General features: G+C 35.7%; 1 protein-coding gene across 13 annotated transcripts in view; it reads right to left on the reverse strand.

Moving 5' to 3' along the window:
* Positions 1–17,739, reverse strand: part of DNAI4 (dynein axonemal intermediate chain 4) — a 111,972-nt gene that overhangs the window by 77,429 nt on the left and 16,804 nt on the right. For 10 of the 13 annotated variants that reach the window (XM_017002354.2, XM_047430752.1, XM_017002353.2 and 7 more), the window contains exons 2-4: positions 14,888–15,062; positions 2,916–3,100; positions 841–953 (exon numbers count right to left, since the gene is read on the reverse strand). In XM_017002354.2, the coding sequence (XP_016857843.1) occupies positions 841–953; positions 2,916–3,100; positions 14,888–15,062 (473 nt within the window). Of the gene's footprint in view, positions 1–840; positions 954–2,915; positions 3,101–14,887; positions 15,063–16,607; positions 16,702–17,739 lie in introns of those variants that run through there. The other 3 variants (XM_047430749.1, XM_017002355.1, XM_024449821.2) reach the window with 3 other exon arrangements.

Raw genomic sequence — 17,739 nt, forward strand, 5'->3', positions numbered from 1 at the left:
AGGCCAGGCACAGTGGCTCAGGCCTGTAATCCCAGCACTTTGGGAGGCTGAGGCAGGCAAATCATTTGAGGTCAGAAGTTTGAAACCAGCCTGGCCAACATGATGAAACCCCGTCTCTATTAAAAATACAAAAAAATTAGCCAGGCATGGTGGCGGACACCTGCAATCCCAGCTACTTGGGAGGCTGAGAGAGGAGAATTGCTTGAACCCAGGAGGCGGAGGTTGCAGTGAGCTGAGATTGTGCCACTGCACGCCAGCCTGTGTGACAGAGCAAGACTCTGTCTCAAAATAAAAAAAAAGAGGAAAGAAGAAAGAAGAAGAGGAAGAAGAAGAAGAGGAAGAGGAGAAGGAAGCAGAGGAGGAAGAGGAGGAAGAGGAAGAAGAAGAAGGAGAGGAGGGGGAGGAGGAGGAGGGAGAGGAAGAGGGGGAGAAGGAAGAGGAGGAGGAGGAAGAGGAAGAAGAGGAAGAGGAGGAAGAAGAAGTGAGGAAGAAGAGGAAAAGAAGAGGAAAAGAGGAAGAGGAAGAAAAGGAAGAGGAAGAAGAAGAGGAAGAGGAAGAAGAAGAAGAAGAAGCAGAAGCAGCAGCAGCAACAGCAGCAGCAGAAGCAGCAGCTGAGCTCTAACACAAAGCGCCATTGGTTCCTCAGGCTGATGATTCAAAACAGTCACCCAGGGAACTTAAAAAAATAGATATTCCCCTGGTAATTCTCTTGAAGCGACTTCACAAGCCAGCATTTGGAAATCATTACCATATTTCTTTTATCTCAAGTATCCAACCAATAATAAGCATATTGACTAAATAACGGACTGTTACTGAAATAAACAAGTATATTTTCATTACCTGTGAAACTAGTCAATCTTTCCCGTTTATAGGATGGTTCTTCCAGGTCTTCTGCTATTGATTCACTTGCTGATACACTTGACTTAGAAACTGTACTGCTTCCTAAAACTGACCTTTAATAATGAATAACAAAATTACTCATTTATTTAGATGTCCTTATAGGAAACTACATATACAAATTAGAACATATTATCAGATGGAGAAATCAAATATACTATGATCATATAAGCAAAATAGATACATTAATTTTTAAATAATGAGTTGGTTTTTAATATTTCTTAAATAAAAAGTTACTTAAAATTTATTTGTATCTTTATTTATTTTTTGAAATGGAGTCTCGCTCTGTCACCCAGGCTGTAGTGCAGTGGCATGATCTCTGCTCACTGCAACCTCTGCCTCCCAGGTTCAAGTGATTCTCCTGCCTCAGCCTCCTGAGTGGCTGGGATTACAGGCTTGCGCCACCACGTCCAGCTAATTTTTTTGTATTTTTAGTAGAGACGTGGTTTCACCATTTTGGCCAGGCTGGTCTTGAACTCCTGACCTCAGGTGATCTGCCCACCTCGGCCTCCCAAAGTGCTGTGATTACAGGCGTGAACCACCGCACCCAGCCAAAATGTATTTTAGAAGAAAGACATGTTAAACATGCTTAAAGTCCTTCGGTGAATTACCAATACATTTAGTACAAAAATCCAAAATACAGTCAACCTACCCAGCATATTCATCTTCATTATTAGTCTTCCTTTACTTTTTTTCTTTTTTTAGTTCCTCAATCTTACAGAGCTCTCTAACTTCAGAGCCTCAGCCTGGAATACTCTTCCTTTTGTTTTTCACTTGGTTTCTGTTCACTGTTCAAATGTCATCTTAAAAATGTGATTTATTTCATTTTATAAAGGCCTTCTCAAGGTTTAACTAAAATATATGTACTCAGAAATAAATCAATGGAAGAATCCAAAAATAATTTCCTTAAACATATGAACTTAGCAGTACTCCATGGTATTACATACTTTCTTTTTTGTTCCTATTTATAGTCTCAACTGCCCATCAAAAGAGGATGTAAAGTTTATTGGAATATCCTCCTTTACCAGGTACTCCTATATTTTTGCAGGCAAATTCAGAGGCAAGCTCCAGAGAAGCATAATTGCTGTGTATTATAAAATAAGAGAGAAATCAAACTCTAGGAGAACAGAGATTTGCATGGGAGAGGAGGGGAAAAAAGGAAAGCCACCTCTTCCTGTAAAATGCAGCTCAAAAGAAGCTGAAGAAACCTGAAGAAAAATGTCTAATGAGAATTTGAAATTAATTGTATGTGATTTTAGTCCCATCTTTTGGTTGCTCAGGAAGTCTTGAGTGAAATATATATATTTTTCACAAATGTTTTGTTGTGAGTGTATGGAAACTCTGAAGACATTAAGAGCTCTGCATTTAATTTAAAACATGAGAGGAACATAGAGATGGAACACTAGGATGATAATCAAAACTGGGTGGCTCATGCCTGTAATCCCAGCATTTTGGGAGGCCTAGGCAGGTGGATCACCTGAGGTCAGGAGTTCGAGATCAGTCTGGCTAACATGGTGACACCCCGTCTCTATTAAAAATACAAAAAATTAGCCAGGTGTAGTGGGGGGGCGCCTGTAATCCCAGCTACTTGGGAGGCTGAGGCAGGAGAACTGCTTGAACCTGGGAGGTGGAGGTTGCAGTGAGCCAAGATGGCACCACTGTACTCCAGCCTGGGCAACAGGAGTGAAACTTGTCTCAAAAAAGAAAGAAAGAGAGAAAGAGAAGAAAGAGAAGAAAGAGAAGAAAGAAAGAAAGAAAGAAAGAAAGAAAGAAAGAAAGAAAGAAAGAGAGAAAGAGAGAGAGGAAAGAAAGAAAGAAAGAGAGGAAAGAAAGAAAGAAAGAAAGAGAGAGAGAGAAAGAAAGAAAGAAAGAAAGAAAGAAAGAAAGAAAGAAAGAAAGAAAGAAAGAAAGAAACTGGGAGACTGGAGACAACTGATATCTAAGATACACATTTGCAATTTAAATGGAAAGGCAATATATATGATAGAAAAAAGGAACTATATAATAGTATACTCTACCTTGTAAACTGCCCTAACGTACTAGGATTTATTGTATTCTGATAAAGGCTATAGGAAGATATAAATTCTGATCCAAGTGATCCTTCTTGTGATGTCAAGAGTTTACTTGGTTTTGCTGTACCAGTAAGTGGATCTGGATGGTAAAGAGGTCGGGGAGTAACATCAGTTCCATTTATGTCAAATACCTGTTAAAAATGGTTATTTAAAATGAAATAACTAAAAAAGACAGGGCTTCTAAATAACAGCTGCTAGAAAATAGAAACAAATATGGTAGAAAAAAGATTAGTATAATGCTCCTATAATAGGATAAACATGAAAAATTGGATGCTTTAAAATGTCATGCTTAGAAAGTTTCTTAATTATGCAAAAACTTTCTTAAAATATTATTTTTGCTTTATCTATATGTAATTAATATATATTAACTTTAGGAAAATCAGAACAGTGGAAAGATAATTCATCCAGATTGTTAGTATTTTGGTGCATGTAAATTGTATGTACACATTTTAAAGAAAACTCACTATTTTTCACTTAACATTTCATTAATAGGCATTTCCCAAGTTATTATATGCTTTTGGTTTACAGTTCTGCACCACAAAATGATTCAGTCAACAATGGACCACATATATGACAGTGGTACCATAACATTATAACAGAACTGAAAAGTTCCTATCACCTAGTGACATCACAGTCATCATAATGTCATAGCACAACACATTACTCACGAATTTGTGGTGATGCTCGTATAAACAAACCTACTGCACTGCCAGTCATATAAAAGTATAGCAATACTATTATGCACAGTACATAATATTTGATAATAATAATAAATTATGCTTCTGGTTTATGTGCTTACGAAACTACACTTTTTAATATTTTAGAGTGTACTCCTTTTATTTCTTAAAAAAATAGTTAACTGTAAAACAGCCTCGGGCAGGTCCTTTAGTGGGTACTCTAGAAGATGATATTGTTATAAGAGATGATAGCTCCATGCATATTACTGCCCCCAAAAAACCTTCCAGTGGGACAAAATGTGGAGGCAGAAAACAGAGATATTGATACAGTTGAACTCTTTTTATATATTTATTCCTATTTTGATTTCCGTTTGGAGGGGGAGAATTTCCTATTCAAGTCCTTTGCACAATTTTTATTGAGACTTTTTTATTATTGGTAATGTATGAGTCCTTTCAGTTGTATGAGCTGCAAATGTCTTCTTTCACTCTGTGGCTTTATTTTCTTTATGGTATATTTGATGAATATGAGTTATTTTTAACGTAGTCAATTGTATCATGTTTTCCATTATGGATTGTGCTTTAGACATCTCCTTAAAAAAAACATTCCCAGCCCTGAAGTCCTATATGTTGCTTTTCATATTTAAGTCTATAATATACCCAGAATTAATTTTATATATAGGATAAGAAAGCCAATATATTTTTGTTTTATAAGAACATCCAATTGTCTCAACAAGAGTTTTTGAAAATCCTGTCCTTTCCCCATTACTCTGCAGTTCACATTTATTATAAAATAAGTGTTTATATGTGCTCAGGTCATTTGAAGACTCTCTAATTTGCTAATATTATATGTTTTATTAAGCCTGGTATCTAGGAAAGCAAGTGTTTCCACTGAGTTTTTATGCAAGTGTCTTGGCTATTTTTAGCCTTTAGCATTTACATATAAATTTTAGAATTATCTTGAAAAGTTTCTGGAAAAAATAACTTTAAAACTTGAGATTTTGATTAAAATTGCAAAGAATCTATAAATCAAAATTTAGGATAATCTTAAAATATTGACTTTTGCTCTGCACAAATATGTCTATATCTCCTTTTGTTTTGGTCCTCTTTAATGTCTTCCAATAAACTTTTATAGTTTTAAAAATATTGGTATATGCATCTTTTGTTATATTTTTCCACAAGTGCTTGATAAATGTTAGTGCTATTATAAATTGTATCATTTTAAAATGTCTAATTTTTGGATGGGCACAGTGGCTCAATGCCTGTAATCCCAGTGCTCTGGGAGGTCAAGGCAGAAGGACTGCTTGAGGCTAGGGGTTTGAGACCAGCCTGAACAACACAGCAGAATCTCGTCTTTACCAAAAATTTGAGAAAATTAGCACACACCTGTAGCCCACGCCACATGGGAGGCTAAGGCAAGAGGACTGCTTAAGCCCAGGAGTTTGAGGATATAGTGAGCTATGATTGTGCCACTGCACTTTCAGTCTGCATGATCAGAGCAAGACTCATCTCTAAAAAAATTTTTTTCAAATAAAAAAAATCTAATTTTTGAACTATTTGTTGCTAACAAATATTCAATCCACAAATATTCAACGTTTTCTTTCTTCCTTTCCAATTCTTATACATTCCATTTCTTTTTCTTACCAATTTGAACTGATTTATGTTGAATAAAAGGGGGCTCTTTTTTGAAATGCTTCACCATTTGACATGATCACTACTGTAGGATTTTATAGATAGCCTAAATAAGATGTTTAAAGTTCCTTGTGATTCTCAGTTTCATAAGAATTTTTAAAATCATGAATATTAAATGTTAACAGATACTTTCTGTCTATATTGAAATGATCATATGCTTTTTTACCACATTAAGCTGTTAATGTGGTAAATTACACTAAGGGTTTTTAAATGTTAAACCAATCTTGATATCTTGGCACAGACCAAGCTTCCTTATGATGTATGTATTAAGCATTTGTTGTTGTTGTTGTTGTTGTTACTGAACTTTATTGGATAATATTTTATTGAGGATTTCTCTACGTTTGCAAGTGAAATTGGCATATAATATTTGTTTCTCATACTGTATTCAGGTTTTAATATCAAGGTAATGCTAGCCTCATAAAATGAGTTTTGGAGTATACCCACTTTTAGTGTTCTGTTTTCATCTATGTATGTTTGACACATACCACAATTGAAGTCATCTGAATCTGGAATTATCTTTGAAGGAAGGTTTTTAAATCACTCATATAAATTTCTTTAATAGCTTCCAGTTTTCAATTTTTGTTTGTCTGCTTTGGTAAAGTGTAATTTTTTAAAAGCTTTTTTACATTTTACCTAAATTTTCAAAATTCAAAATTGAAATACAATAACATAATATGCATTAATGTGCTTTTTAAATTGCTTTTAACATGTACAATTCAATAGCTTTTAATATGTTCACATATATGTGCACCAAAATTAATTTTGGAATCTTTTTACACTTCAAGAAGAGACTCTGTATCCATTATGATCCCTGCTATGGTTTAAGTGTGTGCACCAAAAGTTCACGTGTTGGAAATGTGGTCCCAATGCAGCAGTGTTGAGAGCTTTGACTTTGGAAGGTGACTGTGTAATGAAAGCTTGTCCTCACAAATGGATTAATCCATTCATGAATTAATGGATAAATGGGTTATCAAGGGAGTGGTTTAGTCATCACAAGAGAAGTCTGTTATAAAAGCCAGTTTCCCTATCTCTCATAAACTTCCCTCACCATGCGACACCCTGCACCACCTCAGCTCTCTGCAGAGTCCCCACTAGCAACAAGGCCCTAACCAGATGTGGTTCCTTGACCCTGGACATCCTAGCCTCCAGAACTGTAATAATATTCTTTTGTTTATAAATTACCCAGTATCAGGTATTCATTTACAGAAACAGAAAACACACTAAAAAAATTAATACCAAGAAGTGGGACTAATAACAAACACCTGAAAATGTAGAAGTGGCTTTGGAACTGAGTAGTGGATAGAGGCTGGAAGAACTTAGAGAAGCAGTCTAGAAAAAGGCTGCATTGCCATAAACAGCACTAAGGGTGATTCTGGTGAGGGCTCAGAAGAGCAGACTAGAGAAAGTCTGAATCTTTTTAATTGCTTAAGTGGTTGTGAACAGAATACTGGTAGAATTTGGAATAGTAAAGACTTCTGATGAGGTCTCAGACAGAAATTCTTATTAGAAACCGGAATAAAGGCTGTCTTTGTTATAAAGTAGTAAACAACTTGGCAGAATTTATGGAAGGCAAAATTTAAGAGTGACAAACTAGGATACCTGGCAAAATAAATATTAATATCTAAGCAAAGTGTTCAAGATGCTGCATGGTTGCTTTTGCTTGCTTACAGTGAGATTTGAGAACAAAGGGATGAGATTACAAAAAACAATTTATAATCAAAAGGGAAGCAAAGCAGAAAGATTTGGAAAAGTCTCAGCCTGGCCATGTAAAGAATGAACCAAGGGTGTGGCCCAGAAACCATTTGCTAAGGAGTTTAGTACAGATAGAAGGGATCATAAAGACAGTGGAAGAAGACTCCAAAGGCATTTCAGAGATCTTCTAGGTGGCTCATCCCAACACAGGCCCAGAGATCTAGGAGGGCAGAATGGTTTCAGGGGACAGACCCTGGGTGCCCTTCAAGAGCCCACTACCCAGAACTACCTTGGGTCCCCAAATTTTGGCAAGGAGTCAGCCACCCCAGCTGTGGCACAAGTGACCCCCATTGGGGCTGTGCCCACTACTCCAGAAGATGTGAGTCATAAGCCTTGGCAGCATCCACATGGCATTAATTCTGCAGGCTTACAAAAAGCAAAAGCTGTGGAGGAATTAAGATCCATCTTAATTCCAATGGATGTATCAGATGGCCTGGGAGTCTATGCAGAGATTTATCACAGGGGCAAAACCACTGCAGAAGGCCCCTAAAGGGTAATGCCTAGTGGAGACATGGGAGCAGGATTGCCACAGGACCCCAGAACTACAGAGCTATCAGCCTGCAAAGCCAGCCTGGGAGAGCTATACTGTAGACTGACCCCAGCAAAGTCACAGGGTCAGGGATGCCCAAGGCCCTGGGGACCCAATCCCTGCACCAGTGTGTCCAGAAGGCAGTACATGGAGTCAAAAGATATTATTCTCCAGCTTTAAAGTTTAATGTTTGCTCTGCTGAGTTCAGACTGTTTTGAGACCTATTATTTCTGGCCTATTCTCCCTTTTAGAATGGGAATGTATACCCCATGTCTGTCCAACCATTGTATCTTGGAAGTAAATAGTTTGTTTTGATTTCACAGGCTCACAGGTAAGACTCTGGGCTTTTGAGTTGATGTTGGAATGAGTTAAGGCGTTGGGGCTACTGGGATGGAATTAATGTGTTTTACATGTGAAAAGGATGTGAATTTGGGGGCCAAGGGCAGAAAGTTATAGTTTAAATGTGTGTCTAAAAGTTATGTTAGAAACTTGGTCCCTAATGCAATAGTGTTGAGAGGTGGGACTTTTGGGAGGTGACTGGGTCAAGAGGGCTCTACCCTCATAAATAAAATAGGTTATCAAGGGAGTGGATTAGTTATCATGAGAGGGGTCTGTTATAAAAGTCAGTTTCTCCATCTCTTGTGAGCACTCCTCACCATGTAATAACCTGCTCTACTCCAGGACCCTGCAGAGAGTCCCCCACTAGCGAGGAGATCCTCACCAGATGTGCCCACTTGACCCTGGACTTCTCAGCCTCGAGAAATGTCAGAAATACATTGCTTCATAAATTACCCAGTCTTGAGCATTCAGTTATACAATAACAACAGAAAACATATTAAGATAGTCCCCTAACATCTCCGCTCCCAGCCCTACGCCACCACTAGTATCTTCATGTCTCTATAGACTTCCCTATTCAGGAGTTTGATAGTGAATGGAATCATATACTGTGCAGTATTTTGTGACTGGCTTGTCTCACTTAGCATATTTTCAAGATTCATGCATCAGTGCTTCATTCCTTTTTATGGTTGAATAATATTCTATTGTATGGCTATACAACATTTTCTTTACCCACTTTTCCATTGATGGACATTTGAGTTGTTTCCACCTTTTGTCTATTATGAATAATGCTACTAGAAACATTTGTGTATACCCTTGTGTGTGGAAATATATTTTATTTCTCTTGGGTATATACACCTAGGAGTAGGATTGCTGGTTCATATGGTAACACTGCTTAACCTCTTGAGGCACTTCCAAACTATTTTACAAAGTGGCTAATTTATATTCCCACAAGCAGTGTATGAGGGTTCTGCTTTCTTTACTTCTAGCACTTGTTATGTGACTCTTTGATTCTAGCCATCTTAGTGGGTATAAAGTGAATATTTCATTGTGGGCTTGATTTCAATTTCTCTGATGGCTAACAACGTCCACCATATTTTCATATGCTTTTTGATCATTTGTATATATTTTCTTGAGAAATGAGCATTCAGATTGTATGATGAATAATTATTTGTCTTTATTAATGAATTGTAAGAGTTCTTTATATATGATAAAAGCTCTTATCAGATATATGTTTCACAAATATTTTCTATTTCTGTGGGTTATCTTTTCACTCTGTATATGCTTTTGATGCAAACATTTAAAAATTTTCATAAGGTCAAATTTGTCTACTTTTTCTTTTGTTACGTATGCTTTCAGTGTCACATGTAAGAATCCTATGCCAAATCCAAGGTCTTACCCCTATGTTTTCTTCTAAGAGTGTTACAGTTTTAGCTCTTAAATCTGTCTTTAATAAATTTTGAATTAGTTTGAAAATATGAGGTAAGGGTCTAAGTTCATTCTTTTCCAGGTGGCAATCCAGTTATCCTGGAACAATTTGTTCAACAGAATATCCTTTCCCCATTGAGTGATCTCGGCAATCATAAAAAAATCAGTTGACTTTAGGTAAATGGGTTTATTTCTGAACTCTCAATTGTATCCCATTGATCTACATGTCTATCTTTGTGCCAATAACACATGATTTTGATTACTATTGCTTTGTAACTTTTGAAACAGCGAAGTGTGAATCATCCTACTTTGCTCTTTTTCAGGATGATTTTGGCTCTTCTGGGTCCTCTGTGATTCCATATGAATTTTATTTTATTTTATTTTTATTTTTTTGAGACAGAGTTTTGCTCTTGTTGCCCAGGCTGGAGTGCAATGGTGCGATCTTGGCTTATGGCAACTTCTGCCTCCCAAGTTTAAGCGATTCTGCTGCCTCTGCCTTCCAAGTTCAAGCGATTCTTCTGCCTCTGCCTCCCGAGTAGCTGGGATTACAGGCATGCACCACCACACCCGGCTAACTTTGTATTTTTAGTAGAGATGGGGTTTTACCATGTTGTTCAGGGTGGTCTCGAACTCCTGGTCTCAGGTGATCCACCTGCCTTGGCCTCCCAAAGTGCTGGGATTACAGGTGTGAGCCACCGCGCCTGGCCCCATATGAATTTTAGAATCAGTTGTCAGTTTGTAGAAAGAAGTCAGCTGGAATTCTGATAACAATTGTGTTAAGTTTACAGATCAGTTTGGGGAGTATAACGATCTTAACAATAGTAGGTCTTTTGATCATGACCATGGGATACTTTCCCATTGAATTAGATCTTATTTAATTTCTTTCAATAATGTTTTATAGTTTTCAGAGCATACATTTTGCACTTCTTTTATTACATTTATTCCTAAGTATTTTACTGTTTTTGATGCTATTGTGAAATAAATCATTCTTAATTTTCAAATGGTTCTATGCATGTGTCTAGAAATACAATTCATTTGCATATTGATCATGTATCCGGCTGCCTTACAAAACTCATTTGCAAGTCCTAATAGTATTTTAGTGAATTCCTTAGGAGTCTGTATATATAACATCATGTCATCTGCAAATAAAGATGTTTTTACCTCTTACTTTCCGAACTGGATGCCTTTTATTTCTTTTTCTTGTCTAATTTACATGCCTAGAACCTCCATGATAATGTTGAATAGCAATGCAAGGACTTGTCTTGTTCCTGATCATAAGGAGATTAAGTGCAATTAAGTATAATGTTAGCTGTGGGGTTTTTGTGAATCCTTTGTCAAGTTGAGGAAATTCCCTTCTATTCCTAGTTTGTTGCGTGTTTATATCATGAAAAGATGCTGGATTTTTTAAGATGCTTTTCCCTTCAATTTTGTTGATCTTTTTAAAGAACCAGCTTTTGTTTTCATTGATTTTCTCTATTGTTTTTCTATTCAATATTTCATTAATTTCCACCCAAATATTTTTTATTTCCTCCCTTCTGCTTATTTCATGTTATTTTGTGTTATTCACTCTTTTTTTTCAGTTTCTTCAGTTGGAAGGGTAAGTTATTTGAGATCTTTCTTCTTTCTAATACAAATGTATATCTACAAATTTCCCTCTAAGCAGTGCTTTAGCTGTATCCCATAAGCTTTGGTATGTCATGTCTTGATTATCTATCATCTCAGAATATTTTCTGATTTTCCTTTTAATTTCTTCTTTAACTTACTGATTATTTACCTATCACCATCACAATAGTACATTATTTCTATTAGTGAATATTTTTCTAATGTAGATTTTAATTTCATCAATGATTTTTCATTATATTTTAAGGTTGAATATTTCATTGTGTATATATACCACTTTTTGTGTATCCAGTCATTTGTGGATGAGGACTTTAGTTGCTTTCACCTTTTAGCTATTGTGCATAATGCTGATATGAAGATGGTTGTACAAATATCTGTTTGAAACTCTGCTTTGAAGTCTTTTGATATATACTCCTTCCTGAATCATATAGTAATTCTACTTTCAAGGTTTGGAGGAATCACGATACTGTTTTTCTTTCCTTTTTTCTTTTGAGAAAGGATATAGCTCTGTCATTTAGGCTAGAGTGCAGTGGCACGATCATAGCTCACTGTAGCCTTGAAATTCTGGGCTCAAGTGATTCTCCTGAGCATCTAGGCATCTAGGACTACAGGCTTTTGCCACCACACCTGGCTAATTTATTTTTTCATTTTCTTATAGAGATGGGGTCTTGCTATGTTGTTCAGGCTGGTCTCAAACTCCTGACCTCAAGCAATCCTCCTGCCTCAGCCTCCCAAAGTGCTGAGTCTGGCATCAAGCAATCTTCCTGCCTCAGCTTCTCAAAGTGCTGAGATTACAGGTGTGAGCCACCATGCCTGGCCCTACAATACCATTTTTCATAGTGGCCACACCATTTCACAATCCACTAACAGTATGCAAGGGTTTCAATTCCTCCATGTCTTACCAACACTTATTTTGTTTTGTTTTTTTTAATAGTAGCTGTCATAATAGGTATGAAGTGGTGTCTTACTGTGATTTTGATTTGCATTTCCCTAATGTTTAGTGATGTTGAGTATCTTTTCCTGTGTTTGTTGGTTATTTGTACATCTTCTTTGTAAAAATATCTAATCAAGTTATTTGCCCATTCTTTTAATTGGGCTGTTTCTTTGTTGTCAATTTGTAGTTATTTATATATTCTGGTTATTAGCATCTTATCAAATATATAATTTGCAAATATTTTGTACCATCCTGTGGGTTGTTTTTTCACTCTGTTAATGTCTTTTGATAGACAGAAATTTCTAATTTTAATGTAGTCCAATATATATATTTTTTCTTTAGCTGCATATGCTTTTGTTGTCATATGCAAGAAATTGTTGGCAAATAATTTCTTTTCCCTATTTTCCTCTAGGAATTTTACAGAGTTAGCTCTTATTTGGGGTCTTTGATCCATTCTGAATTTATTTTTGCAGATGGTATAAGGTAAGGATCCAACTTCATTCTTTTCCATGTGGATATCCAGTTGTCCCAACAAGATTTGTTGACAAAACTGTCTTTTCTCCATTGCATAATCTTGGCTTCTTTGTCAAAACCATTTGACCATATATGTGAAATTTTATTTCTGGGCCATTCCATTCCATTGGTCTATACCGTATGTTTGTTTTTATTCCACTACCACCCTGTTTGGATTACTATAGATGTGTAATAAGTTTTAAAATCAGGCAGTATGAGACTTCCAACTTTGTTCTTCTTATTCAAGATTGTTTGGGCTATTTGCATCTCTTGATATTTCATATACATTTTAGGATAGGTTTTTCTACTTCTGAAAAAATATCACTGGGATTTTGGAGGGAATGTATTGAATCTGTAAGTCACTTTAGGTAGTATTGACAACCTAACACTATTACGCCTTCCAATCTATGAACAAGAAATGTCTTTCTGTTTACTGGTGTATTCTTTCCTTTCTTTTGTGTTTTGTAGTTTTCAGCATACAAATCTTTGGCCTCCTTTGTTATGTTTATCCCTAAGTATTTCATTATTTTTGATGCTATTGTAAATGCAATCTTTTTCTTAATTTCCTTTTTGGAAATTCATTGTTAGAAATGCAACTAATTTGTGTTGTTGATTTTCTGTCCTGCAACTTTGCAGAATTTTTTAGTTGTGTGTGTGTGTATGTGTAATTTTTACAGTTTTCTGCATATAGATCACATCAGAGAGAACTTTACTTCTTCCTTTCCGATCTGGGTGCCTTTTATTTATTTTGAGACAGAGTCTCAGTCTGTTCCTCAAGCTGGAGTACAATGGCGCTCTCTCTGCTCACTGCAACCCTCTGCCTGCCAGGTTCAAGTGATTCTCCTGCCTCAGACTCCCAAGTAGCTGGGATTACAGGCACCTGCCACGACGGCTGGCTAGTTTTTTTGTATTTTTAGTAGAGACGGGGTTTCACCATTTGGCCAGGCTGGTCTCGAACTCCTGACCTCAAGTGATCCGCCTGCCTTGGCCTCCCAAAGAGCTAGGATTAAAGGCATAAGCCACCATGCCCAGCTGGATGCTTTTTATTTCTTTTCCTTGCTCAGTTGCCCTGGCTAGGACTGCCACTACTATGTTGAAGAGAAGTGGTAAAAGCAGGCATCCTCCTTTTGTTCTTGGACCTTAGGAGAGATGCTTTCAGTCTTTCACCATTGGAGAAAATATACATATATAATAAATATTTTCACCATTGGAGAAAATAATTTTATATATATATAAATAAATGAAATATAGTTTGTGTGTGTATATATACATATGCATATATATTTAAATGCATGTATTCATATATATGTGTATATACACACATAAATAAGTGAAATACATATGTGCAAATATATAGTATTTGTTTAATAAAATGAGAGTTGTTTTAGTTTTCCGCCATTATATGTAAAGGTGCTATGAACATTCATGTAGTAGTGTTTATATAAACTTATGCTTTCTTTTCTCTTGGTAAATACCTAGACATGGAATAGCTGGATGATATAGTAGGTATATTTTAACATTTAATAAGTTGACAAATAATTGTTTTCTATTTTCCATGTCTACCAGCCATGTGAGAGTTTTAGTTCCTCCACATACTTGTCAATACTTGATATGATCAGTCTTTTAATTTTAGCCATTCTAATAGGTACTTAGCAGTATTGTATGGTTTTTAATTAATACTGATCATCTTTTCATGTGCTCCCATGCTATCTGTTTATCTACTCTGGTGAAGTGTTAGCTCAAGTATTTTGCTAATTTTTAAAAATTGGGTTGTCTCAATATTGCTTTGAAGGTTGTTTATACATTCTAGTTATAAATATTTTATCAAAATATGCTTTGTAAATAATTCTCCCCATTGTGTCACATTTCTTTGCATTCTGTTATCAATGTCTTTCAAAGAGAAAAAGTTTTAATTTTGATGAAGTCCAATTTATGAATTTTATCTTTTATGGACTCTGCTTTTAATGTCCCATCTAAACAAATGCTGAACCCATTCAAAATTATATATTATATGCTTTTCTGTATATATATAATCATTTGATTAAAAGTTTAAAAGAGTCAATTCTTAATTATGAATCTTCTAGTAAGGCAAAATAACTGACTTTATGACAAATAATTTTATTGTATTTTCAAGACTATATTGCTGACAACAGTGAAAGATAGTTGTAATGTATATAATTAATACCATAAGCAAATAGTTCTTAAGGTCATGAATAGACTTTTCTCATTCCACTCTAATATTCTTCTTATCAATAACTAGTTATAGGAGCCAAGTGTCAATATTATGTTGTATGGAATAATATGTGGTAAAAATTAACAAAATCAGTATTTCAAAATTATGAGTGATTATCTGAAAGCAGCATATTTTCTATCTTTAACATTTCAATTGAGTTTTTCACAGTGCCATTTTCAAATAAACTCAGAATTCTAAGAATATTACCTGTGTTGTCTTTATATTGGGATTTGGTTTTTCTACAGTTTTCAGTTCAGGTGGAATAAGCACGGTTTTGGACACAGCCATTCTGCTTTGATTTGCACCAGTATATCCTTTCACTGAAGTTGCTTTCATTGTAGCAAAAAAGCTAATAGACTTCTTTGGTTGTGTGGCATTGTTCCTATATAAGAAAAATAAAATATAATGCAAAGGATTCAAGATTGAAAAGAAAAATCAACCAACAATAAAAAAGTAGATTTCCTGTAAAAACATGTGAACAATCTAAACATATAACAAGAAATAATGATAACTATTTGAAATCTTATTATGTATAAACATAGTTCTAAAGAGTTGGCATATATTACATCACTTTCTCCTCATAATTCCAAGAGGTTGCTATTAATATTATTTTATATAAAGCCACAGAGGCTTTAAGGGGAAACATTCCTACAATGGTTGAGATTTGAACCCAGGCAGTCAGATCCTAAGTCCATGCTGACTTCTCTGGGTCTTAGTTTCTTTGTCTGCAAAATGAGGATAATAACAGTACTTAACTCATCGGTTATTATGAGGATTAAATAAATTAATTTTTGTATTATGGTTAGTAAGTCCCTGGCACATAGTAAGCACACATGAGTGTGTAGTGCAGTTACATAGGCAGATTTAAACATGATTAATAAAGCCTGAGAAAGAATAGCGTGTTCCTTCCTGAATTATATACTACTTTTTTTTTTTTTTTTTTTTTTTGAGACGGAGTCTCGCTCTGTCACCCTGGCTGGAGTGCAGTGGCGTGATCTCGGCTCACCGCAACCTCCGCCTCCTGGGTTCAAGCGATTCTTCTGCCTCAGCCTCCCAAGTAGCTGGGACTACAGGTGTGCACCACCATGCCTGGCTAATTTTTGCATTTTTAGTAGAGAGGGGTTTCACCATGTTGGCCAGGCTAGTCTCAAACTCCTGGCCTCGTGATCGTCTCACCTCAGCCTCCCAAAGTGCTAGCATTACAGGCATGAGCCACTGTGCCCTTTTTAATAAGAAGAGAAGTTACAATCAAAATATTTATATCCATGAAAAAATATTTTTTCACTTTTGGATTTACCCTGTAAATTCCTTAAGACAAGGACTTACCTTATCATTTTATTCCTTCTAGTACTCTGTAATATGGATTTCTATAAAATGGGGATGAGCCTCCCTGAGATTATAAAAATATGCTTCCAAAGAAAACATTTTAAATAATACATTTACTTTTTAAATCATAAAAAATCTGACAAGAATAAAATATTTTTAAATAACGATCAATCCAGTTTTCATATTTTATTTTTCTTCATAGCATTTATCGTTACTTGACATTTTGTTGTTGTCCACCCCTCTGCAGAATGTAAGCATGTTTAGGGCAGGAACTTTGTCTTGTTCACTGCTGTATCCCTAGCACCCAGCACAGTGCCTAGTATACCATGGACACTTAATAAATATTTTTAAAATATATGAGTAAATGAATTCCATTTGTGCACTATTTCAAATTTACATTTAAGTATCCTACCCTATTCTCCTTCTATCTCTAAGGACTTAACCCCCAACATCTCTAAAAAAAAATAAACTATCATTCATGTAAAAATTCCTTCAAATTATTTCACCACCTCCTTTAAATTCTTCTCCCACCTCCTACAAACTCACTTATCTCTTTTTTCCTTTCTCAGTAAAAGAGTTGCCATTCTTATCTAAGACTAACCTTTTATGTGAACTCTGAAACTTGTCACTGGTGTCTCAGGGACTCTTCTCCATCCATAATTCCAGGTCTCCTATCTTATTTTTTTCTCTTTTCCCTGTGAGCATAAAATTATGCCCCAATCATCTCCTCAACTTGAAAATCCTTCCTTTAACTATGTCTTCCTCTACCTATTACTATATCTCTCCTTCCTTTCAGTCCAACTTCTTAAAATGTTAGTCAGTAATACTGCCTACTACATGACTTCTCTTTTTGCTCTGTAACTACAATGTAGCTTTACTCTTTCTTCTTCAGCTGACCATTCCTTCTTAAAATTGACTTCTCAGATTCGTTTCTGTCATACCACAGACTATTCTTCAACCTCCTTGAGACCTCTAATCACCTGACCTTTCCATTTCTACCAAATAATCAGAACATTTTAGATTTCTCTTTTCTCTATTAATCTTTAATCCACAATTTATCAATTGAGTCACTCTTTTGCCATTACCTTCAACTCTCTCATTCTCTTCCTCCTTAACATTTTGCCCTACTATCCTTACAAAATCCGGTCCTCCCATTCCCTTTTCCTTTGAGCTCCCCTTTTACAGATTACGTTTAGGCTCAAATCTTAGTTACCTGATTTCTCACTATATACACTATCCCTGAGTAAATTCCATGGTTTCAATGACCACAAGTACTCTACTTTCTTATGGCATTTACCTTTCTCTTCTACCATCCTCTGAAGATTTCATATCCTAAGTCACTGGCTCTATCTCTAATAGCTACTTCTGGCATAATTCTTGAGCATTTCAATATCCATGAAGGTAATCCTTCAAATACCCTGACCTCTTAGCTCCTTGAAATCTTCTCACATAAATGATTTTACCTGCCTTGCTACTTCAGACACTTACTCCCATGGTCATACATGTGGCTTTTGTTTTTAGAAGGTCAATCAGCATTTCCTATTTTTCCAGCTTAAATACCCTCTCAAACTCCAATCCTTCAACAATCCTTCGACCCTATTATGACCTTCAGGCCCTTGATTCTACCATGCTTTATTCCTCTACCATCTTTCTCATGCCATCTCTTCCCTCTTGAGGTTATGGTTAGTTACTTTAATTGATAGTTAATTATTATAATCATTCTTTACTTACAT

The sequence above is a fragment of the Homo sapiens genome, chromosome 1 (assembly GCF_000001405.40).
Source record: "Homo sapiens chromosome 1, GRCh38.p14 Primary Assembly".
In the NCBI taxonomy this organism is placed as follows: domain Eukaryota; kingdom Metazoa; phylum Chordata; class Mammalia; order Primates; family Hominidae; genus Homo; species Homo sapiens.